Genomic DNA, 26,220 nt, shown 5'->3' on the forward strand with positions numbered 1-26,220 from the left:
GTCAGAATCATAATCAGAAACCAATTTCCTAGGAAAGGAAAGACTCTATCACCATGATTCCCACTTTTTTTTTAATCATGACAAATCACTCTCATGAAAATCAGAAATAGGAAGGCAGAATAAGACAGCCGAACAGAATCCTCCGGTGATCATCCCTCCAGCAAGAACACCAAATTTAACAACTATCCACATAAAAAAAGCCCCTTCATAAGAATGAAGAGTCAGGTAAGTGATCATAATAATATTATATTAAGGAAAGAGGCACTGAAGAGGGTAGGAAAGACAGTCTTGAATCACCTACAACATCCCTTCCCCATTCCCCAGTAGTGGCCATGGCCATGTGGCACAAAGAGAGAATCTGTGCACTTGGAGGGAGGCAGAGTGTAGTGACTGTGGGACTTTGCATTGGAACTCAGTGCTATTTTGTCACAGTGGAAAGCAGCACTGGGCAGAACTCAGTTGGCACCTATCAGAGGGAGCATTTAGACCAGCCCTAGCCAGAAAGAAATTGCCCACCCCAGGGCTCAGAACCTGAGTCCTGGCAAGCCCTGCCACCACATGCTAAAGTGTTCCGGGGCCTTCAATGAACTGGAAAGGCAGTCTAGACCACAAGGAATTAAATGTCTATGCAAGTCCTGGTGCTGTGCTGGGCTCGAAGCCAGTGGACCTGGGGGGCACGTGACCCAGTGATACACAAGCCAGGGTGGCCACGGAAATGCTTGCAACACCCCTCCCCCAATCCCAAGCAGCACAGCTCGCAGCTCTCAGAGAGACTTCTTACCTCTGTTTGAGAAGAGGAGAGGAGAAGGAAGAGTATTTTGTCTTAACATGGATAACAGCTCAGTCATGGTAGAATATGGCACCAGGCAGAATCCTGAGGCCCCCATTCCAGGTGCTAGCTCCCAGATGACACTTCTAAACACATCTTGGGCCAGAAAGGAACTGTTGCCTTGAAGGGAAGGACCCAGTCCTGGCAGAATTCATTACCTGCTGACTAAAGAGCCTTTGGGCCCTGAATAATTAACAGGAATAGCCAGGCAGGCAGTACTCATTGTGGGCCTTGGGTAAGACTAAGAGCTGTGCTGGCTTCAGGTGTGTGACCCACCACATTCCCAGCTGTGGTGGATACAGGAAGAGATCCTTTCTGCTTAAGAAAAAGAGAGACAAGAGTAAATGGGACATTGTCTTGCAGCTTGGGTGCCAGGTTGGCCACAGTGGGATAGAGCACCAAGTGGGCTCCTGGAGTCCCCAGTTCTAGGCCTTGACTCCTGGGTGGCAATTCTGGACCTGTCCTGGTCCTGAAGGGAGCCCACTGCCCTGAAGGAAGAGACTCAGGACTGGCAGCATTCACTACAAGCTGACTGAGAAGCCCTTGGGACTTGAATGAACATCAGCCATAGCCAGGCAGTGGTCACTGTGGGGCTTGGGAAAGACCCATTGCTAAGCTGGCTTCAGGTCTGAATTAACAGCCTGTATCACCCCTCCTCCAGTTCCAGGCATCTCAGCAGAGAGAGACTCCATTTGTTTGGGGGAAAGAAAAGAAGAGTCTCCACCTGGTAATCCAAGAAATTCTCTTGGATATTACCCAAGACCACCAGGGTGGTACCTCTATGAGTCTGCAAGACCCACAGTGTTACTAAGCTTGGGGTGCCCCCTAAAGCAGATATAGCTGCAGTGACCAAAGACTTAGATCCCTTTGACTACCTGGGAAGCCTTCCCAAGAAGGACAGATACAGACAAGCCCAGACTGCAAAGACTACAACAAATACCTAATCTCAGTGTCCAGACTCTGATGAACACCCACAAGCATTAAGACCATCCAGGAAAACATGACCTCACATGTTGCGGGAAGTCAGGGACCCCGAACAGAGGGACTGGCTGGAGCCTCGGCGGAGGAACATAAATTGTGAAGATTTCATAGACATTTATCAGTTCCCAAATAATAACTTTTGTAATTTCTTATGCCTGTCTTTACTTTAATCTCTTAATCCTGTTATCTTCATAAGCTGAGGATGTACGTCACCTCAGGACCACTATGATAATTGTGTTAACTGTACAAATTGATTGTAAAACGTGTGTTTGAACAATATGAAATCAGTGCACCTTGAAAAAGAACAGAATAACAGCGATTTTTAGGGAACAAGGGAAGACAACCATAAGGTCTGACTGCCTGCGGGGTCAGGCAAAAAGAGCCATATTTTTCTTCTTGCAGAGAGCCTATAAACGGACGTGTAAGTAGGGAAGAGATTACTAAATTCTTTTCCTAGCAAGGAATATTAATATTAATACCCAGGGAAAGGAATGCATTCCTGGGGAGAGGTCTATAAACAGCCACTCTGGGAATGTCTTGTCTTCTGCAGTTGAGATAAGGACTGAGATACGCCCTGGTCTCCTGCAGTACGCTGGGCTTACTAGGGTCAGGAAAAACTCCACCCTGGCAAATTTGTGGTCAGACCAGTTCTCTGCTCTAGAACCCTGTTTTCTGTTGTTTAAGATGTTTATCAAGACAATACATGCACCGCTGAACATAGACCCTTATCAGTGGTTCTGCTTTTTCCCTTTATCCTGTTCCCTCAGAAGCATGTGATCTTTGTTAGACCCTTATTAGTAGTTCTGCTTTCTGCCCTTTGAAGCATGTGATCTTTATACCTACTCCATGTTCTTACACCCCCTCCCCTTTTGAAACCCTTAATAAAAACTTGCTGGTCTGAGACTCAGGTGGGCATCACGGTCCTACTGATATGTGCTGTCACTTCTGGTGGCCCAACTGTAAAATTCCTCTCTTTGTACTGTCTCTGTTTATTTCTCAGCTGGCCGACACTTATGGAAAATAGAAAGAACCTACATTGAAATATTGGGGGTGGGTTCCCCCAATACTCACAAAACAAACTAAATAAGACACCAGAGACCAATCCTGGAGAGACAGAGATAGGTGACCTTTCAGACAGAGAATTCAAAATGGCTGCTTTGAGGAAGCTCAACGAAATCCAAGATAAAACAGAAGGAATTCAGAATTCTACCAGATAAATTTAATGAAGAGACTGAAATAAAAAGAATCAAGCAGAAATTCTGTAGTTGAAAAGTGCAACTGACATACTGAAGAATGCATCAGAGTCTCTTAACAGCAGAACTGATCAAGCAGAAGAATTAAGTGAGCTTGAAAACTGGCTATTTGAAAGTATACAATCAAAGGAAACAAACAAGAAAATAATTCAAAAAAGAATGAAGCACACCTACAAGATCTAGAAAACAGCCTCAAAAGGGAAAATCTAAGAGTTACAAGTTTTAAGGGGTGGGGGTAGAAAATTTATTCAAAGTGATAATAACTGAACTTTCCAAACCTACAGAAAGATATCAATATTCAAGTACAAGAAGGCTATAGAACACCAAGCAGATTCAACCCAAAGAAGACTACCTGAACACATTTAATAATCAAACTTCCGAAGGTCTAGGATAAAGAAAGAAACAACATTCAAAGGAGTTCCAATAGGTCTGGCAGAAGACTTCTCAGAAGAAACCTCACAGGCCAGGAGAGAGTCGCATGACATATTTAAAGTACTGAAGGAGAAAAACTTTTATCCTAAAACAGTGTACTCAGCAAAAATATCATTCAAACATGAAGGAGAAATAAAGACATTCCTAGAAAATAAAAGCTGAGGGATTTCATCAACACCAGACATTTCCTACAGGAAATGCTAAAGGAAGTTCTTCAATCTGAAAGAAAAGGATGTTAATGAGCAATAAGAAATCATCTGAAGGTACAAAACTCACCGATAGAGAATACAAAGAAAAATGGAATACTATAACAAACACTGTAATTGTGGTATGTAAACTACTTACATCTTAAGTAGACAGACTAAAAGATGAACTGATCAAAAATAGAAACAACAACTTTTGAAGACAGACAGTATAAGAAGATATAAACAGAAACAGCAAAAAGTTTTAAAAAAGCAGGGAGGTAAAATTAAAGTGTAGAGTTTTTATTAGTTTTCTCTATGTTTGTGTATTAGTTTGTTTATGCAATCACTATTAAGTTGTCATCAGTTTAAAATAATGGGTTATATTATTTTCAAGCCTCATGATAACCTCAAATCAAAAAACCTACAACAGGGAGAGGCAGGGAGAAGGCACAGCAAGATGGCTGAATAAAAGGCTCCACTGATTACCCCCACTCCTGCTCCCACAAGGACACCAATTTAACAACTATCTACACAGAAAAAGCACTTTCATAAGAACCAAAACTCAGGTGAGCACTCACAGTACCCGGGTTTAACTTCATATCCCTGAAAGAGGTGCTAAAGAGGATAGGTGTTGAATTGCCAACACCACCCCCTCCCCATCCTGTGGCAGTGGCCACATGATACAGAGAAGGAATCTGTGCAATTAGGAGAGGGACAGCAGCAGTTGCAAGGTATTGTACTGAACTCAATGGTGCCCTGTCATAGCAGAAAACAAAACTGGGCTGAACTCAGCTGATGGCCACAACAGCAGGAGCATTTAGACCAGTCCTAGCCAGAGGGGAATTGCCAATCCCGGCAGTCAGAACTTGAGTTTCAGTGAGTCTCACCAACGTGGGCTAAAGTTCTCTGGGATCCTAAATAAACTTGAAAGGCAGTCTAGGCCACAAGAGACTATACTCCTAGGTGAGTTCTAGTGCTGAACTGGGCTCAGAGCCGAGGGACTGAGGGGACAAGTGACCTACTGAGACACCAGCTAAGGAGGTGTTTTCGCCATCTCTTCCCCAACCACAGGCTGCTCAGCTCACTGCTCCAAAGAGACCCCTTTCTTCCACTTGAAGAGAGGAAAGGGTACCATAAAGAGGACTTTGTCTTACATCTTGGATACCAGCTCAGCCACAGTAGGATAGGGACCAGTCAGAGTCCTCAGGCCCCTTTTCCAGGACTTAGCTCTCAGATGACATGTCTAGATGTACCCTGGCCAGGAAGGCAACCTGCTGCCTTGAAGGGAAGAACCCAGTCCTCGAAGGATCCATCACCTGCTGACTAAAGAGCCCTTGGACCCTGAATAACCAGCAGCAATACCCAGGCAGTATGCCATGGGCCTTGGATGAGACTCAGCATATCCCCAGCTGTGGTGGCTACAGGGAGAGACTCCTTCTGCTTGAGAAAAGTGAAAGGAAAAGTAAGGGGGACTTTGTCTTGCACTTAAGTACCACCTTGGCCACAGGCGAGTAGAGCACAAAGTGGGCACCTTCACTAAAAGGAAGACAGGAATGAAGAGAAGAACACAGAACAACCAGAAAACAAAAAACAAAATGGGAGGAGTAAGCAATTACTTACCAATGATAACAGTGAATGTAAATGGACTAAACTCTCTAATCAAAAGACAAAGAATGGTTGAATGGATTAAAAAATAATAATAATAATAAAAAAAACAAGACCCAACAATCTGTTGCCTACAAGAGACATACTTCACCTATAAAGATACACATAGACTGAAAATAAAGGGATGGAAAAAGACATTCCATGCTAATGGAAACCAAAAAGAACAGGAGTAGCTATACTTATATCAGACAAAATAGATTTCAAGACAAAAACTATAAGAAGACACAAAGAAGTCACTATATACAATAAAGGGGTCAATTCAGTAAGAGGGTATAACAATTATAAATATATTTGCACCCAACACTGGAGCACTCAGATATATAAAGCAAATATTAAAGCTAAAGAGAGAGACTCTATTAGAATCACAGCTGGAGACTTCAACACCCCGCATCCAACAATGAACAGATCTTCAACAAAGAAATGTCAGGCTCAATCTGCACTTATAGACCAAATGACCTAATAAATACTTACAGAAAATTTCATCCAATGGCTGCAGAATACACATTCTTTTCCTCAGCATATGGAACCTTATCAAGGATAGACCATATGTTAGGTCACAAAAAAGTCTTAAAACATTCAAAAAATTAAAATAATATCAAGCATCTTTTCTGATCACAATGGAATAAAACAAATCAATAACAAAAGGAATTCTGAAAACTACACAAACACATGCAAATTAAACAATATGCTCTGAATGACCAGTGAGTCAATGAAGAAATTAAAAAGGAAATTGAAAAATTTCTTCAAACAAATGATAATGAAAACACAACATACCAAAACCTATGGGATTCAATGAAAGCAGTAGTAGGAGGAAAGTTTATAGCTGTAAGTGCCTACATCAAAAAAGAAAAACTTCAAGTAAACAACCTAATGATGCATCTTAAAGAATTAAAAAAGAGCAAATCAAACCAAAAATGAGTAAAAGAAAATAAATAAAAATCAGAGCAGAAATAAATGAAACTGAAACAAACAAACAAACCAATTGGAAAGACTGATGAAACAAAGACTTGGTTTTTTGAAAAGATAAAATTGACAGATCTTTAACCTAACTAAGAAAAAAAGAGAGAAGATAAAAAAAATCAGAGATGAAAAATGAGACTTTACAACTGATACTGCAGAAATTCAAAGGATCATTAGAGGCTGCTATGAGCAACTATATGCCAATAAATTGGAAAACCTAGAAGAAATGCATCATTCCCTAGACACATAAAACCTACCAAGATTGAACCATGAAGAAATCCAAAATTTAAACAGACCAGTAATAAGTAATGCAATCAAACCCATTAAAAATTCTCCCAGCAAAGAAAAGCCTGGGACCCGATGGCTTCACTGCTGAACTCTACCAAACATTTAAACAAAAACTGATACCAATTCTACTCAAACTGTTCAAAAAAAAAAAAAAAATAGAGGAGGAGGGAATACTTCCAAACTCATTCTATAAGGCCAGTATTACCCAATACCAAAACCAGACAAAGACACATCAAAAAAAGAAAACTACAGGTCAATATCCCTGATGAACTTTGATACAAAAATATACAACAAAATACTAGCAAAAGGAATTGAACAAAACATTAAAAAGTTCATTCATCATGACTGGAATTAATCCCAGGGGTGCAAGGATAGTTTAACATATGGAAATAAATCAATGTGATACATCATATCAACAGAATGAGGACAAAAACCATATGATCATCTCAATTGATGCTGAAAAAGCATTTGATAAAATTCAACTCCCTTCATGAGAAGAACCCTCAAGAAACTGGGTACAGAAGGAACATACTTCAACATAATAAAAGCGATATAAGGCAGACATGCAACTAGTATCATACTGAATGAGGAAAAACTGAAATCATTTCTTCTAAGATCTGGAACATGATAAGGATGCCCACTTTCACCACTGTTATTCAGTGTAGTAGTGGAAACCCTAGCCAGAGCAATCAGATAACAGAAAGAAATAAAGAGCATCCAATTTGGAAATGAAGTCAAATTATCCTTGTTTGAAGAGGATATGATCTTACATTTGGAAAAATCTAAAGACTCCATCAAAAAACTATTAGAACTGATCAATTCAGTAAACTTGCAATATAGAAAATCAACATACAAAAATCAGTTGCATTTCTATACACCAATGGCAAACAATCTGAAAAAGAAAGTAATCCCATTTACAACAGGTACACATAAAATTAAATACCTAGGAAATAAGTTAACCAAGGAAGTGAAAGATCTCTACAATGAAAACTATAAAACATTGATGCAAGAAATTGAAGAGGACACAAAAAAATGGAAAGATATTTCATGTTCATGGACTAGAAGAATCAATATTGTTAAAATGTCCATATTACCCAAAGCAATCTACAGATTCAATGCAATCATAATCAAAATACCAATGACATTTTTGACAGAAATAGAAATTACAATCCTAAAGTTTATATGGAACCATAAAAGACCCAGAAGAGCCAAAGCTATCCTAAGCAAAGAGGACACAACTGAAGGGAATCACATTACCTGACTTCAAATTAAATGACAAAGCTAAAGTAACCAAAACAGCATGTTACTGGCATTAAAAAACAGATACATAGACCAACGGAACAGAATTGAGAATCCAGAACAAATCCACACACCTACAGTGAACTCATTTTCAACAAAGGTGCCAAACACATACACTGGGAAAAGGACAGTATCTTCAATAAATGGTGCTGGGAAAACTGGATATCCATATGCAGAAAAATGAAACTCTGTCCACAACAAAAACCAAGTCAAAATGGATTAAAGACTTAAATCTACTATCTCAAACTATGAAACTACTAAAACAAAACACTGAGGAAACCCTCCAGGACATGGAGGGAGCAGAGATTTCTTGAGTAATCCTCCAAAAGCATAGGCAAGCAAAGCAAAAATGGATAAATGGGATCATATCAAGTTAAAAAGCTTCTGCACAGCAAAAGAAACAATCAACAAAGTGAAGAAACAACTCACATAATGGGTGAAAATATCTGCAAACTATCCATCTGACAAGCAATTAATAACTAGAATAAATAAGGAGCTCAAACAACTCTCTAAGAAAAAAATCTAATAATCCACTGAATAGACATGTCTCAAAAGAAGACATACAAATGGCAAACAGGTATAAAGAAAGATGCTCAACATCACTGACCACCAGAAAAATGCCATTCAAAACTGAAATGAGGTATCATCTCATCCCAGTTAAAATGGCTTTTATCCAAAAGACAGGCAATAATAAATGCTGTCAATGATGTGGAGAAAAGGGAACCCTCGTACACTGCTGGTGGAAATGTACATTAGTACAAACCATTATGGAGAACAGTCTGGAGATTCCTCACAAAACTAAACACAAAACTACCATATGATTCAGCAATCCCACTGCTAGGTATATACCCAAAAGAAAGGAAATCAGTATATCAGAGAGTTATCTGTACTCCCATATTTACTATAGCACTATTCACAATAGCCAAAATTTGGAAGCAACCTAAGTGTCCATCAACTGACGAATGGATAAAGAAAGTGAGGTACACAGTGGAGTAATATTCAGCCATAAAAAAAGAATAAGATCCTATCATTTGCACAACATGGATGAGGTTATTATGTTAAGTGAAATAAGCCAGGCACAGAAAGACAAACTTCATGTGTGCTCTCATATTTGTGAGGCTAAAAAAATGAAAACAATTGAACTCGTGGAGATAGAAAGTAGAATCATGGTTACCAGAGGCTGAGAAGAGTGCTGGGGGTGGAGGAAAGTGGGGATGCTTAATGGGTACAAAAATCTAGTTAGATAGAATGAATAAGATCTAGTATTTGACAGCACAATAGGGTGACTACAGTCAACAATAATGTATTACACATTTTAAAATGGCTAAAAGAGTATCACTGGATTGTTTGTAACACAGAAAAAAGAACAAATACTTGAGATGATGAATATCCCATTTACCCTGAGGTGATTATTACACATTGTATGCCTGTATCAAATATCTTATGTAACTCAGAAATATAAACATCTACTATGACCCACAAAAATTAAAAATAATTTTTTTAAAAAATTGGAAATACTTGTAGACTGTAGAATTGTTGCACTGTTTTGTGTATAGAGAATTATACAGGAATTATGGGGGTGCTTGACAAGTCTCTACTCCAAAAAACAGAGTTAAACGATCCAAATGAACAAAGGCATCAGACTACAATAGCCATACTCTTAACCTTGGAAACAACCACTCCCCTATGAAGTGCTTAGATATACTCTACCAGAATTTATCTCAGTTTGAATTTCTTTTTATTATCTTCCACAAATGGCCAGCAGGCCTTCTGATGGACGTATTTTTGTGGATATGTAAATATACACAAATTATCAAAGACTCCTGCAGGGCAGGAAACAATTCTATCAATTTCTGCAGATTTTTCAGAACTAATGTATCTGGTTAATCTTCCATTTTAACACAAGGGCAAGCATATCTCTTTAATTTTTTACTTATTTTCGAGAGGTGAGAATGGGGAGTTAGAGAAAGTGCTTCATTTTGGCTCCAAGGTATTGACAATATGACATGGAATTTTATGCTATGTACAAAGAAAACATTAGATAAAAGATTGGGTGGAAGACCTTCAAAACTTGTCCTCCCTTCTTCTACAGCAAATTTTAGCTGGCACATGGCTACCGAACTTAAGACTACACTTTCCATTTTCCTTTGCCAGTAGGTGTAGCGAATAGCTAAGTTCTCACCAAAGGAACGTGAGTGGTAGTGATGTATAACACTTTCAAGCCTTGGTCCTAATACATTGGGCATACTGTACTCTGCTATCACCAAGTCCACCAAAGGAACCATGTAAATCACCCCTGAAGGATGGCAGAGCCCCCTTGCCAGCCTGAGTACCATGAGGTCATAAGAAAGAGCCTGCCTATCAGCCCTGGACTATTAAGTGAGAGAAAAATAACCTTCTACTTTTATAAAAGTCATTGGGTCTTTTTGATGCAATTGTTTAATCTGTACCCTTACTAATAGTTATTGATAAAATTAAACATCAGACCCACATGTTAGAATCCAAAACCACTCTTTGCAAATTTATAGTACTGAAGTACTAATTTGTCAGAAAGAATATCTCAGTATAAATCTATTCCTACACACTTGATGCCTAGGAATTCATTAGTTTTTTAAGATAAAAAAGTAATGGTTAAGTCCATAGTGTTAAACCCAAGAGACAGAATTGCAAATTACTTTGGGGAAATTAAGGGGTTTCTGAGGAACACATGCATTGTCAACACTAATAATAAAAGGCAAATGGGAGTGGGGGGAGTGGGAGGAGTAGGAGAAATGATAAAGTATTCATTGTGATTTTAATTCTGCTCTCCAAGTACATTCTGGGAGTGACAGGTGTTATCTACATAATATTTTAACATTCTTATATATAAGCAGGAGCAATTTCTTTTAACATTTCTTATATGTAAGCAGGAGTAATTTCAATACCCCCAAATTATTATCTAGATTAGTTTTTCATCACAATTTACCTTAGTAAACAGTCCTTTGTTTACCTTCCCCCGCCCCCCAAAAGAGACACCCAGCCTGGGCGCAGTGGTGCAATTATAGCTCACTGTAACCTCAAACACTTGGGCTAAAGCCATCCTCCTACCTTAGTCTCCAGAGTAGCTGGGACTACAGGCATGTGCCACCATATCTAGCTTTTTCTTTTTCTTTTTTTTTTTTCTTTTTGAGACAGAGTCTTGCTCTGTAGCTGAGGCTAGAGTGCAGTGGTGCAATCTCAGGTCACCGCAACCTCTGTCTCCCAAGCTCATGTGATCCCTACACCTCAGCCTCTTGAGTAGCTGGGACAACAGGCACACACCACCACATCCAGCTAATTTTGATGCAGGGGACAGGAGGGGTTGTTGTTGTTTTTGAGACAGGGTCTTGCCCATGTTGCCCAGGATGGTCTCAAACTACTGAGCTCAAGTGATTCACCGACCTCAGCCTCCCAAAGTGCTGGGATTACAGCAAACCTAACTAATTTTTAAGCTTTTTTTGGAGAGATAAAGTCTCGCTGTGTTGCCTGGGCTGGTCTCAAACTCCTGGCCTCAAGCAATCCTCCCATCTTGGCCTCCCAAAGCACTGGGATTACAGGCATGAGCCACCGCACCCAGTCCTGTTTACCAAATTTTTAATAACATTTCCCATATTCAATGTCAACAACGAATGTGACATTAATTAATGACTGTATCTTAGTTCAACCCAATAATACCAACTTCAGTTTTATTAAGTATATTTATTCCTCTAAACAAATGAACCTGGGGTTAACACTGATTTCAAATATGGGTAGGTGTTTAGTAAAGAATCTGAGACTCTGGTGTGTAAATTCATATAGGACAGATGGCTGATATTATAAGTATTATAACCAGAAGACCACTGTTCTGCTCAAGAATTATATTGTGCCACAAACAACTTTTGATATTAACCAAAGGTAGAAACACGGATGATCAAAAATAACTTGCAAACCACTACTAGTTGGCTTTGAATGGTCTATTAATTTTTAAAAGAGATTTATTTGATTACATTTTTCTCAGAATAATATGAAAAACGACCTATGTTCCTTGGGTACAAGCCAAGTGATAAAAGCAAAACTAGTGGCTAAACCAATTCAATTTGGGTATAAAAACCCACCACAAATAAAATAGAAAGTAAACCAATTGTAAGAGATAAATGAGATTTGACTACAGGTGTTAAAAATAACATATTTTAAAACATGATTCCATGTTAGGCTCTATATGGAATCAGGCTCACAGATGTGCAACTAAAGAAAAATTGTGCTCTATTAGAGTTCACAGGCTAAGAGAAATAAGTATTTCTAGCAACTTTTAGGTGGTTGGATTACCGATCTTAAAGGTTTCTCAGAGGGCAGGGATGTTGATGTTATTAGTGCTTTTTCCTTAAAAGTCAAGGTTCTTTATCAGTACCTAAAATGAATGGGACATGACAATCATAAGCACTTCTATATGTACTCCAAATTTTAAAATGGGGCTGAGATAGTTTAGGACTCAAAAGTATACTAGGGGCACAGGCGCCAAAAAGGCGGCATATAGGAAAGCAGGACTTTTCTTCTTCTACCTTGCTACTGTGCCAAAGTATCAAACAACTTTTTGGCCTGGGTCAAGTTCCATCTTTTGATTTTGTTCAGAGCCTAAGAAATCATTGGCATGTAATAAGTGCTAAGTAATAACACACACGGTGGAGGTATAATAAATTAATATGAAATACTCCATAGGGGGTCCAATTTTATGGAATAGGCTAGTAATCCATGAGCCATATTTTTGATAAATTGGTTTATGTTACAATAAACTTTATTGTATTACAACAGATTCCGCTGGCTTGCAGCATATTACACACTTGCAAATCCCAAACCTATAAAGCATTTATTTTTATTTAAGATTGATAAAATCATGTCCATCTTAAGATGCCTCTGGGCACTTACATGGTATAAAAGTAGACACAAAATTCTAAGAAAAAGAAAGCCTGGCTCTGTTCAGATTTAGTTTTTGTTCTTTTTTAAGTACTAAACAAAGGCAGTATGTCTTATACCTGAAGGTCAACCCAAAGTGCAAACTTTATAAAGATTTATAGAATAAAAAGTCTGTCTCAAGAAAACACTGGTATCCCTGGACAGCAAAGACTTGTGCCGACTAGCAGGAGAGCTTCAGCGGTGCCTCACTGGAAGCGAATGTTAAGATACCTAAGGGCTTAAGTATAAATTTTTTAAAAACATAAAATCACTACTCTGAATTTAACTCCAAAGCAAAGCAGAGCTGTGATGTACCTCATGCTGCGTTCTATGATGTTACATGCTAGAGTGGCAATACTTTATACACAGCATCACCTTCCCATGGTCTGTACTAAACAGGGCCCTTCTCTTTCACATACATTCACAGCTTGATGAGAAGGACATCAAGTCAAGAAAACACAGTAGCTGTCTTAATGCTGGACGCAGATGCAATGATGAATAGAAACTTAAAGACAATGTTTCTGGTCAACTCAGATGAAAGACTCCTAAAGTGAAGTACATATTATTCATATTTATTCTAATTTTTGTTTTTAGGCCTCCCCTCATATAAAAAGCATGAAAAAAATGAATGTCACAATAATAGAATATTTGAACATGTTATTACTGACAATAGACAATAAGCTTCATGGTTTTGTTTTTTGTTTTACTATTACATTACCTATGCATATACAATGCCTTGCATATAGAAGGTACTCAAAATATTTGAGGAAAGAAGGGAAGGGAATACGGGAATAAGGAAGAGGGAAGAATTCAAACAGGAGGGAATTTTATAACTGGAACATGGACATAGAGGTCAATTATAAAATTTTCATTCTGGCCAGGCGCAGTGGCTCACGCCTGTAATCCCAGCACTTTGGGAGGCCGAGGCAGGCGGATCACGAGGTCAGGAGATGGAGACCATCCTGGCTAATATGGCGAAGCCCCGTCTCTACTAAAAATACAAAAAATTAGCCGGGCATGGTGGCACGTGCCTGTAGTCCCAGGTAGTCGGGAGGCTGAGGCAGGAGAATCACTTGAACCCAGGAGATGGAGGTTGCTGTGAGCCGAGATCGCACCACTGCACTCCAGCCTGGTGACAGAGCAAGACTCCATCTCAAACGACAACAACAACAACAAAATTTTCATTCTGGGATTGACCCACATTGAAATCTCTACTAAGAATTAGTCAAAGCTCTGCTTTCTTCCTCTGCTTCTAGAAAGTTTAATATAAAGTCAGCCATCTCTTCCATTTGTATATGAGTAGAAATTCTAAGGTTCCTAAGATTGCTGTCATGCTTACTAAAAAGATAAAACAGTTTTTATTTTCTGAAATAGAAAACTTATATGAACTTGACTACATATTTAACCCATAAATTTATACAGAGAATATACAGGGAGGAGAGATCAGAGATGGTTATCAAGAGAGTACAGTTATGACTCTACAGCTGGACAGGTGGCCTTCACTACTCTTTCCCTAGTTGATTTCATCTACCCAACAGCTTCAAACAACCTACATGTCAGTAACTCTCAATTTGTTATCTCTTGTATATACACAAGACCTGTTTTCTAAGAACAAGTCTTGCGTATCCAACTCTCTCTGGAAACTTCCATTTGATGACTCACATGCATCTCAAACTTGGCAAGTCTCAACTAAATGTTTGGTCTTCCCGCACCCACAGTATGTCTTTTTTCCTGGTTTCTGTATCTCAGTAAATTGTACCCCCATTCACCCAGTTTTCATGCCAAAAACCCAGTGTCAAGGATGTCTCCCTCTCTCATTCTCTCCTCTATCCATTCTCTTCCACATCCACTCTATCCATCATGTTTGTCATTACCACCCTCAAAATATACCTCAATCTCATTTTCCCCCTGCATTTCCACTGCCATCACACTAATACAGAGATTGCAAAGTGCCACCCATGAGATCCTATCTGACCGGTAAGGCTGTTCCATCTGGCCCATAGTATTTTTATAAACTACTTACTATAAACTATAAATATTAATTGATGATATTTATAAATTTAAGACTTTAACAAAACACTCTAGATTCCTTACTTCTCTTGGAAAATTAAAAAAGCTGGCAAAACTAAGCATATGATTCCACTTGCCCTAACCTGGGCGGGACTCAGGAGAGGCTACACCTCTTAACACAGGGTCTATGCTCTCTATTGCCTCCTAAAACTTAGGCCCAAAGAAAGTTGCTATTATCAATGCAATCTTATTTTGCTTATAAGGATCTGTTTAATACTTTTGTACTACCTGGCCACTGAAAGCAAACGAGTTTGTGAACTACTTTCTGTTTTATTTCTCTAACTCCATTAAAATGTGAACCAGATCATATCACTTCCCCGATTAAACCTTCTAATGACTTCACATTGTCTTAAAATAAAAATCTAAACTCTTACCTAAAAGGCCTTAACATAATCTGACCTGTCCAGTCTCATCTCCTGCCCCTCCCCTGACTCACCATGTTCTACCTGTACAAGCCTTCTTTCTTGTCCTTGTTACCAATCTACAAAGGCTCTTCGCACAGATATCCACATGGGTGACTCTTCCCTGTCATTCAGGTGTTAGCTCAAATATGACCTTCTAAAAAGGTCTCCTCTGACCACAGAGGTATTCCCCTACTTCCCCACCCAAGCCTATAACCCACCCTCACCACGTTCACTTTCTACCACCTTGTGTTATTTTCTTCACAGCAATCACTGATCTTTAACATTACCTTGCTTACTGATTTATTTACCTATTGTATATATCACCCCTCTAGAATGTAAATGATGCAGGGACCATGAATGTCTTACTTGCCACTGTAATTCCAGTGATTGGCACTTAGTAATAAATGTTTGTCAAATAAACAATGCACTACAATAAGAGCTCTTACAATTTTCAATGGGCTCGGTCAATACCCATTTACAATTCATTTCTCATTTTTTCTAATCTAGAGGCTAGCCTTTTTTGCAGGTTGGCATGCCATGACAGAGTTCATTTACTCATTCAAAAAATATACATTGCACCTGTTTGCGGTACTGAGATCAAACAACCAAAAAACCTGCCCCGCCGGGCGCGGTGGCTCACGCCTGTAATCCTAGCACTTTGGGAGGCCGAGACGGGCGGATCACGAGGTCAGGAGATCGAGACCATCTTGGCTAACACAGTGAAACCCCGTTTCTACTAAAAATACAAAAAATTAGCCGGGCGTGTTGGCGGGCGCCTGTAGTCCCAGCTACTTGGGAGGCTGAGGCAGGAGAATGGCATGAACCTGGGAGGCGGAGCTTGCAGTGAGCCGAGATCGCGCCACTGCACTCCAACCTGGGAGACACAGCGAGACTCCGTCTCAAAAAAAAAAAAAAACCTGCCCTGAAGGAATTTATAATCTAATAGGGAGGGACAGATGATAAACAAAAGTTAGTAAATTATATAGTAAGTTGGCTCTCCATATCCATGGATTCCACATCCATAGATTCAACCAATCAACTGTAGATCAAAAATATTTTTTAAAAATAATAAAAATTGTAAAACTTAAAAACCATTACAGTATAACAACTATTTACATAGTATTCACCTCATATTAGGTATTATAAGTAATCCAGAGATGACTTTAAGTATACAGGAGGATATGTGTAGGTTATGTGCAATTACTATACCATTTTATATAACAGACTTGAGTATCTGGGGATTTTAGTATCCATGGGAGTCCCCATGGATACTGAGAGACAACTATATATTATAAGCTGATAAAACTGAATAAAAACATAAGGGGCAAGAGAGAGTGCTGTAAATGTGTGTCAGTGAGTGTGTGTGTGTATGTGTGTATATGTATGTATATGGGGAGGGTGCTACAATTTTAAATAGAGTAGTCAGGAAAGGGCCCACTGAAAGGGTGTCATCTGAGGAAAACTGGAAGGAGGTGAGAAATGAAGCATTCCAGGTAGAGGGAACAGCAAGTGTACAGGATCTGTAGCAGGAGCTCATCTGGTGTGGAACAGCAAGGAGGCCAATGCGGTTGAAGAGTGATGAGGGTGTGGGCCAGGCTCGGTGGCTTATGCCTATAATCCCAGCACTTTGGGAGGCCAAGGCAGGCAGATCACCTGAGGTCAGGAGTTCGAGACCAGGTTGGCCAACGTGGTGAAACCCTGTCTCTACTAAAAATACAAAAATTAGCCGGGCGTGGTGGTGGGCACCTGTAATCCCAGCTAGTTGGGAGGCTAAGGCAGGAGAATTGCTTGAACCCAGGAGGCAGAGGTTGCAGTGAGCCAAGACCGTGCCATTGCACTCCAGCCTGGGAAACAAGAACAAAACTACATCTCAAAAAAAAAAAAAAAAAAAAAAAAAAAAAGAAGACTGATAAGGGGAGATGGTTGTAGGAGATGAAGCCTGAGAGGTAAGAGGAAGCCAGATCATGTAGGGCACTGCAGAACATTCAAGAAGTTTGACTTTTACCCTGAGATGAGGAATGACTGGACAGTTTTTGTTTGTTTGTTTGTTTTTTGAGACAGAGTCTTGCACTGTCTCCCAGGCTGGAGTGTGGAGGCGCAATCTCAGCTCACTGCAACCTCCGCCTCCCGGGTTCAAGCAATTCTCCTACCTCAGCCTCCCAAGTAGCTGGGATTACAGGCATGTGCCACCACAACCAAGTAAATTTTGTATTTTCAATAGAGACAGGTTTCACACTGTTGGCCAGGCTGGTCTTGATCTCTTGACCTCTGGTGATTACAGGCGTGAGCCACCATGTCCGGCCATGACTGGACAGTTTTAAGGAGGCTTTGACTTATGTTTAAAAAGGAACAATCTCTGGGTTTAGATAGCGGCGATGGCTGCAGAACTTTGGGAATATACTAAGAAACACTGAATTGCACACTTTAAAAGAATGAATTTTAGGCTGGGCGCAATGGCTCATGCCTGTAATCCCAGCACTTTGGGAGGCGGAGGTGGGCAAATCACGAGGTCAGGAGATCGAGACCATCCTGGCTAACATGGTGAAACCCCGTCTCTACTAAAAATACAAAAAATTAGCTGGGCGTGGTGGCGGGCACCTGTAGTCCCAGCTACTCGGGAGGCTGAGGCAGGAGAATGACGTGAACCCAGGAGGCAGAGCTTGCAGTGAGCCGAGATCGAGCCACTGCACTCCAGCCTGGGTGACAGAGTGAGACTCCGTCTCAAAAAAAAAAAAAAAAAAAAGAATGAATTTTATATGTGACTAATGCTTTAATATTTAAAACACACACACACACACATACACACACACACACACACACACACACACACACACACACACACACACTGCTCCAGGGGTTTGAGAACAGACTATAGGAATGTGAGAATGGCAGCAGGCAGACCAGGTATCAAGCCACTGCAATAATCTAACAGAGAAGGTGATGGCTTGCATCAGGTAGTAGCTAGTGGATATGGTAAGAAGTGGTTCCAATTCTCTATATATTCTGAAGGCAGGGCCCCTAGGATTTGCTGATGGATTAGATGTGGTACATGAGAAAAAGGGATGTAGGATGACACAAAGGTTCTATCCGATGAGTTTTCTCTTTCCTGATATAGGCCTTGCCCCTTCCTGTTAGACTTTCTTGTTCTTCCTGCCTGGAATATTGACAAAGGGCTGGAGATGGATCTACAAGGACAAGAATGAGGACAAATGCCAACATACCAAGAATATCAGAGTGGAAAGACAGAAATAACCTGGCTTCTGAAGGTACTGTTGAATTCCTATACCAACCTATCATCTAATAAGAATAAACACCTCAATTATTTAAGCCAAAATTTCCTGTGATTTGTACTAAAATGTATCCCTAATTGATATACATGGTGATTTTTTTAATGCAAATATACTTCATTCTATTTGTCTTTGATTTATGACACTGCAGATACTGTGTTTTTCAAAAATTGAAGGTCTGCAGCAACTCCATTTTGAGCAAGTATATTAGCACTATATTTCCAACAGTGTATGCTTGCTTCATAACTCTGTCACGTTTCAGTAACTCTTGCAATATTTCAAACCTTTTCATTATTATTATATCTGTTACGATACTGTTTTGTTTGTTTGTTTTATTTTGTTTTGAGACGGAGTCTCGCTCTGTTAGCCAGGCTGGAGTGCAGTGACATGATCTTGGCTCACCGCAACCTCCACCTCCCAGGTTCAAGTGATTCTCCTGCCTCAGCCTCCCAGATAGCTGGGATTACAGGTGCCCACCACCATGCCCAGCTAATCTTGTATTTTTAGTAGAGATGGGGTTTCATCATGTTGGTCAGACTGGTCTCGAACTCCCGACCTCAGGCGATCCACCCACCTCAGCCTCCCAAGTGTTGGGATTACAGGCATGAGCCACTGCAATCAGCCTATGGTGATCTGTTATCAGTGTTCTTTGATGTTACCATTGTAATTGTATCTGGGGCGTCACGAGCCTCATCCATATAAAATGGTGAACTTAATGGATAAATGTTGCTCCATTTATCTGATTGCTCCATCAACTGGCTGTTCCCCCATGTCCCTCTCTCTCCTTGGGCCTCCCTATTCCCTGAAACATGACAATATTGAAAGTAGGCCAATTAATAATGTGACAATGTCCTCTAAGTGCTCAAGTGAAAGGAAGAGTGACACATCTCTCACTGAGCAATATGGCAAAACCTTGTCTCTACAAAAAATACAAATAATTAGCTGGGCGTGGTGGCACATGCCAGTAGTTCCAGCTACTCAGGAGGCTGAGGTGGGAGGATCGCTTAAGCCTGGGAGGTCGAGGCTGCAGTGAGCCATGATCATGATGCTGCACTCCAATCTGGGTGACAGAGCAAGACCCTGTCTCAAAAAAATAAGATAAAATAAATATAAACCTGCTAAAACAAATCCTTTAATAGCTTCTCCTTGTTCTCATAATAAAGTTCAAAATCCACAACAATTTCACCTTCTCTATCCTTGTTTACTTGCTCCATCCACATTGTCCAACCTTTTGCTTTTCTCAGTTCTTTGAACCCATCAAGTTCCTTCTCATCTCAGGGTCTCTGTACGTGCTGTTCCTTCATCCGTTCATGCTGTTCCTTCATCCTGCACCACCTCTCCTTCTCCTCCACCTGGTTACCTCCTGTCTTTCCTCAGGTCTCAGCTTAAACATCATTTCCTCAGGGAGGACCTCTCAGAGAATCCTGAACTTCACAGCACATATCATATGATAAGTGAAATGGTAGAATTAGCTACATGATTCCTTATTTATTATCCATCTTCACTACTAAAATATAAGCTCCTTAGTGGCAGGGACTTTTTCTGTCTTATTAATATTATCTGGCACACTGTAGACTTTCAGTAATTATGTGTTAAATGAATACATGAATGAAGTTTCTTTTCCATTGTGAAAATTTTGCTAGGTTCTAAGGAGTTAAAAAGAAAAACATTCCCACCCACACAGCAATACTTCAAATTTTCAAATTTTGCAGTGTAAATTACATAAAACACTATTATACCCTTATTTTTTATACTCATTTAGTTACCTCTGATTCAAAATTATGTTTCTTTGCAGCAAATCTATAAGTATACTATTCTCTAGAAACACATCAAAAACATTTATATGTTATATTTTCAGTAAGAAGTGATAGGATTACTTCAATTTCACTCATTTTCACTCCACCAAAATGGTACAGATTTTCCAGGCTGAAACAATTCATTTCCCTTTCATTTACACACTTATCTGTGAAGGCGGCATGAAGTATGCCATTGGAATCATCTCTCTTCGAAGTCTATTACGTATGCTTTGTAATTTACTGAAAATTGAAATCATCAGTAATCATTTCTTCCTGTTCTCTTTTCGGGCTAGAGTTCTTTTTTTGTAGAGCTTTCTTTTCAGGTTTTGCCAACACATTTTTTCAAGTCATTTTTCCTTTTCCTTTAAAATGAAAATGTGCCTACAAAGTTCAAAATCGTGCATTCCTAGATGGCATCTTGGAAGAAAGAATAGAGCAATTTCAAAGCAAAATATCTATTTTTTTTCCCAACTCACGCATTAATCTTTCCCTAGAGATATGTAAATAGGTAAAGAAGTGAGGTCCATACATAAAAAGAAACAGTGTACTAAGATGTTTACCTGAAAACCACACTATAATTCAAATATTGTTAAGGGTCATTGTCAATATGTTTAGGCCAAGAGCACAATCTACTTTTAAACTGTTGTAACCTGATAAAAGGGACAAAAGTTTGACACAGTATTCCTCTAAAGAGAGCAATGTAAAAAGATGAGCAATAAATCCATAAGGAAATGGATACAGCCAGGCAGAAATTATAGAAAAGGCACCAGGAAAAAATCAATAACTGCAGAAAGGGACAAGAGAACCCATGGGTAAAGGTGACTTGTAAATTCTAAGGATTTAAGATCTTTTAGAGGATTTTCATTAGATTGGGCTGTTTTTCCCCAAATCTAGCCTCTCAGTATAAATAAGTGAAGGCTATCTTCTTAACCAGAAGTTCACAATATTTTTTAAAAGTAACCTACAATGTGACTCCTTTTAATGCTCAGTTTCATAAAAATGCCTTGCACTTCAGAGACATTCATAAAACATCCCTCAGTATTCCAATGAGCTATGAACGCTGGTAAGATAAAACATGATGCTAAATCCCAGTTATTTACCTGTAAGGTTCTCTTTATGAATCTCTATCACCCAACCAGCTATTATGGTTAAATAGATAATGGATATAAAACACTCAACACTGTGCTAGCACAGAAGCACTCAAGATATATTAGCTATCTTTTGTTCCCATGGCATTGCCCCAAGTCTTAGGAAATGTGATGTCTCTAAACTGAGAGCCCTGGTAACCTGCTTTGGAGGGCAGTATGTTTGTCCCCAAACAGGCTGGCTCAGTATTTTTGCTTACTATTTGAGAATCAAGAAGAAAGTAAGATTTCAGTAGGTCCTCACTTAGGAACTGTCAAACGAAAGGAGAAAAGCAATCCAAAATGACAGCTGTCAGGAGAGGGAAAAAAAAAAATCTTAGTGGTAATAACAAGGTTTCTGCAAAAATAACTTTTCCCAGACAGTTGACACCAGAAGTGACTGTGCAGCTAAGCCTTCAGAGTAGGGAACCACCCTACTGCTTTCCTTTCTTTCACAAGTAAGTTTCTCAAAATAGTTGTCTATACATGCTGTTCCCAGTCCCTCTCTCCATTTTGAACCTACTCCTATTCAGCTTTCCTCCCACCACTCCTCTAAAACTGCTTCTCAAGGGCATTCAGGATCTCCATTTTGCCAAATCCAGTCATCAATCATCAGTTTTAATCTTACATGACCTCTTGGCACCCGACACAGTTGATCACTCCATCCTCTGTGAAAACACTTCCCTGCTTGGCTTTCAAGAAACTATCCTCGCTGAGCCACCACTTTGTCCCTGCCTCACAGGCAGCTCTTTCTCAGTCTTGTGTACCGGATCTTCCTCTGTACCTCATCCAGTCTCATGGCTTAATAACTTCTAAATTTATGTATCCAGCGCAGACTTCTCCCTTGGACGTTAGACATATATTCAACTTCCTCTTCAACATCTCTACCTAGACATCTAAAAGGCATCTCAGATCTAAAATGTTCAAACTGAGGTATTCCAAAACCTATTCTTCACATTCTTCACTGTCCTTATCTCAGTCTAACATAGTTCTATCCTTTCAGTTGTTCAGGCCAAAACTCTTGATATCATCCTTGATTTCTTTTTCTTTTTCTTTTTTCTTTTTTTTTTTTGAGATGTTGCCTCGCTCTGTCGCCCAGGCTGGAGTGCAGTGGTGTGATCTCGGCTCACTGCAACCTATGCCTCCCGGGTTCAAGTGATTCTCCTGCCTCAGCCTCCCAAGTAGCTGGGACTACAGGCACATGCCACCACACCCGGCTAATTTTTTGTATTTTTAGTAGAGATGGTGTTTCACTGTGTTAGCCAGGATGGTCTCAATCTCCTGACCTCATGATCTGCCCACCTCAGCCTCCCAAAGTGCTGGGATTATAGGCATGAGCCACCGTGCCCAGCCTCTTTTTTTTCTTACCCCATATCAAATCTATTAGCTAATGCCACTGGCTCTACCTTTAAAATATGGCAGAATCTAAAGCAATCCCTACCTCCACTGCTTCTACCCTCATCCAAGCCACCACTATCTTTTGTCTAAATTATTCTTGTTAGAATGTGTCTGCCCTTATACAACCTATGGTCTACCTAGTAGTTAGAACAATCAAATCACAGGATTCCTTGGCTCAATACCCTCCAGTGGCTGTCAATCTCACTCAACCAAGCGCTCTGCAACCTGGCCCCATTTCTTTTCTGACACCGTCTTATACTACTTTCTCTTCAGCTTCAGCCCTAGTGCCCTCCTTACTATTCCAGGAGCATACCAGAGCCAGTTGCTGTTCCCTCAGCCTGGAACACTCTTTGCCCACATTGGCTTGTTCATTAATCTTCAGGTCTTTACTCAGATGTCACCTTTATAATGAGGCCTTGCCTATTTGAAATTGCAAACCCACCCCATAAACATCCTCTTCCCTGCTTTATTTATTTTGTTGTCTCTCTCTCCCCAGTAGAACATAATTTCTATGAAGACAGACATGTTGTCCAATCTGTACTTCACTGAATCTTCAATACCTACAATACTCAGGTTATTCAGACTGGTCTGGGAATCTTCAGAGTGAAGACAATGCTCAGGCATCAGGCAGGGCGATGTTCACTCCGGGCAAAGGGCATACCATGTTTAAAGATACAGAACAATGAACTAGCACAGTGTACACTTGGAATCTAGAAGCAGTTTGGTTTGGTTGGAGCTTAGGGTTTCAGCAGGAAATGAGACTAGCAAAGTAGGCCGGGATCTAACACTTACTAAGTGTTACCCTACTCTAGGCATTGTTTTAATCCCTTTATATTATTCTTATGCAATTTAAACATCATAGCAAACCTTCTCCTACAAAGAAGCCACTATTGTTATTTCCATTTTATAGACGTGCAGACTGAAGACAGAGAGGGTAAGTAACTTGGCCAAAAATCACTCAGCTAATAAAGGAAAGCCAAATTCAAAGCCAGGCAGACTGACTCTAGAACTGCACCCTGAACCAATACACTATATTGCCTCTGTGCTATGGATCTTGGGTTTCATGGTATAGACAAGGAGGAGCCACTCAAAGGTTTTACACCGGCAAACAATAGGTTTAGTCTGCATTTTAGGATCACAGCAATGTGGAGAACGGATTAGAAAAGTGTAAAGAGACCTGCAAGGTCCAAGCTATAGAGATGTTGAAGGCAGGGTTTAAGGCAGCAGTATAAAGAAAGGAAGACTTTACAGACACCCAGGAAGATTTTATAAACACCCAGAATGTAGAAATTATTAGGGATTTTAAGAGTGTGGTGGCTGAAGACCCAGGAATTCCTGCTCTGCCATTTACCATTCTCTCCATATGCATTTACATTTACAGAAAATAAGAAATCACAAGCTGAATGAAAATCAAAGTATGATACTATGAGGTGGCTCAGCATCTAAATACCACAGAGCAGGAATACAGTAAAACTGGACTGGAACATTTGGCTTAGGATCAAGATGCAATTAAGGGCCTCTATCTTAAGTCCAATTCTGTATCTTGGGATTTTCCTATCTTCAGGCCAACAACACAGTATAGAAATCGGAAGCAGTGTCCAGCATACTTAGGCTTACATGCAAAGAGAGAACAAGAATGAGACACAGAATGAATGCCTGGGTTGCACAAAGTGTTCTGGTTGAACTTACTACACTGACTATATGGAAAGAGGAAGTATAAAAGTAGTCCAGAAAGAGGAAGTAATGGCAGGACTAACTCATCGCAAGATACTCTCAAGAAGAAGAGTAAGATGGCAAGGCTGGCCCAATCTCAAAGATTAATGAAAAAATAAAAATGGGCCGGGCACAGTGGCTCAGGCCTGTAATCCCAGCACTTTGGGAGGATCACCTGACGTCAAGAGTTCGAGACCAGGCTGGCCAACATGGTGAAACCTCGTCTCTACCAAAAATACAAAAATTAGCCGGGTGTGGTGGCTGGAGCCTGTCATCCTAGCTACTCGGGAGGCTGAGGTAGGAGAATTGCTTGAACCCAGGAGGCGGAGGTTGTAGTGAGCCAAGGTCATGCCACTGCACTCCAGAAAAGAAAAGAAAAAGAAAAAAAAAAAAAAGAAAGAGGGCTGTATGGCTGCATGGTAAATATAGCCTGATCAATATCCTGGACTCTGACTAATTAGGTTAGCATAATGTTAATATATGTTTGTCCCTTTGTATGCATGGGGGATTGGTTCCAGGACCCCCAAACCCCCACCAAGGATATCAAAATCTACAGATGCTCAAGTACCTTACATCAAATGGCACAGTATTTGTATAGTATAACCTACACACAACCTTCTGTACACATTTTTTTCTTCAATCCACATCAGTCAAATCCTGCATACTTTAAATCACCTCTAGATTACTTATACCTAACACAATGTAAATGCTATGTATATAGTTGGTGCACTGTATTGTTTTTCATATTTGTTTTTTAAATTGTATTGTTATTTTTATTGTCTTTTTTTCCCCAAATATTTTCAATCTGCAGTTGGTTCTATCTGTGGATACACACAGCTGACTGTATCAGAAAAGCCATCAGACCCTAAGTATGATGAAAATGAAGGGGGCAGAAGACAAACTGGATTACCACACCATGATGGGTCAATCTGAAAGTCAAATTAATGCCAAGATTGTGGTGAGGGGAATATAATTTCACTTGATATTGATTAGATTTGGAGGGGGCAGGCTGGTCACTAAAACAGATCCAACACAAAGCTGTCATCTTAGCCAGCTTAACTTAATTCTAGCATCTTTAAGCCTGATGTTTTGAGTGTTGGAAAAGAACAAACTGGTTATCCCTTACACTATATTCCCTAATACTAGTTGAGGAGTGACCTCTCTAAAAGATCAAGAGCAAAAAGTCTTTTTAAAAGATTCTAGACAATGTAGGATACTCTTTGCCATAAGAGCCAAAGCCAACAGAAATAATCCTTCCACCCTTGGGAAAAGAGATAATGGCAAGACTTCTCGTTAATAATCTAGCTAAATGATAGAACTTAAAAGATCTTTGACTAGCTGAGTGTTGTGGCATGTGTAGTCCCAGCTACTTGGGAGGCTGAGGTGGGAAGATCAGTAGAGCCCAGCAGTTCAAGGCTGCAGTGAGCTATGACCATGCCACTGCACTCCAGTCTGGGTGACAGAGCGAAACCTTGTCCCTTAAAAAAAAAAAAAATCTAAGACTGATTACTAAACCATTGGGAACAGGAAGTTCTGGGTTCAATGAATTTCTATATATTTTTTCATACTGGACACATGAAAGACATTAA

General features: G+C 39.9%; 1 protein-coding gene across 8 annotated transcripts in view, besides 1 other annotated feature; it reads right to left on the minus strand.

Moving 5' to 3' along the window:
* BTBD9 (BTB domain containing 9) overlaps positions 1–26,220 on the minus strand; it is a 471,479-nt gene that overhangs the window by 359,292 nt on the left and 85,967 nt on the right. The window lies entirely within an intron of this gene.
* Positions 24,507–24,707: a silencer, noted in NCBI's record as "peak5797 fragment used in MPRA reporter construct". NCBI's record gives its function as "represses an SCP1 promoter by STARR-seq MPRAs in K562 erythroleukemia cells {active_cell/tissue: K562}" and the evidence as "EXISTENCE:reporter gene assay evidence [ECO:0000049][PMID:32103011]".

This window comes from Homo sapiens, chromosome 6 (genome assembly GCF_000001405.40).
Source record: "Homo sapiens chromosome 6, GRCh38.p14 Primary Assembly".
Taxonomy (NCBI): domain Eukaryota; kingdom Metazoa; phylum Chordata; class Mammalia; order Primates; family Hominidae; genus Homo; species Homo sapiens.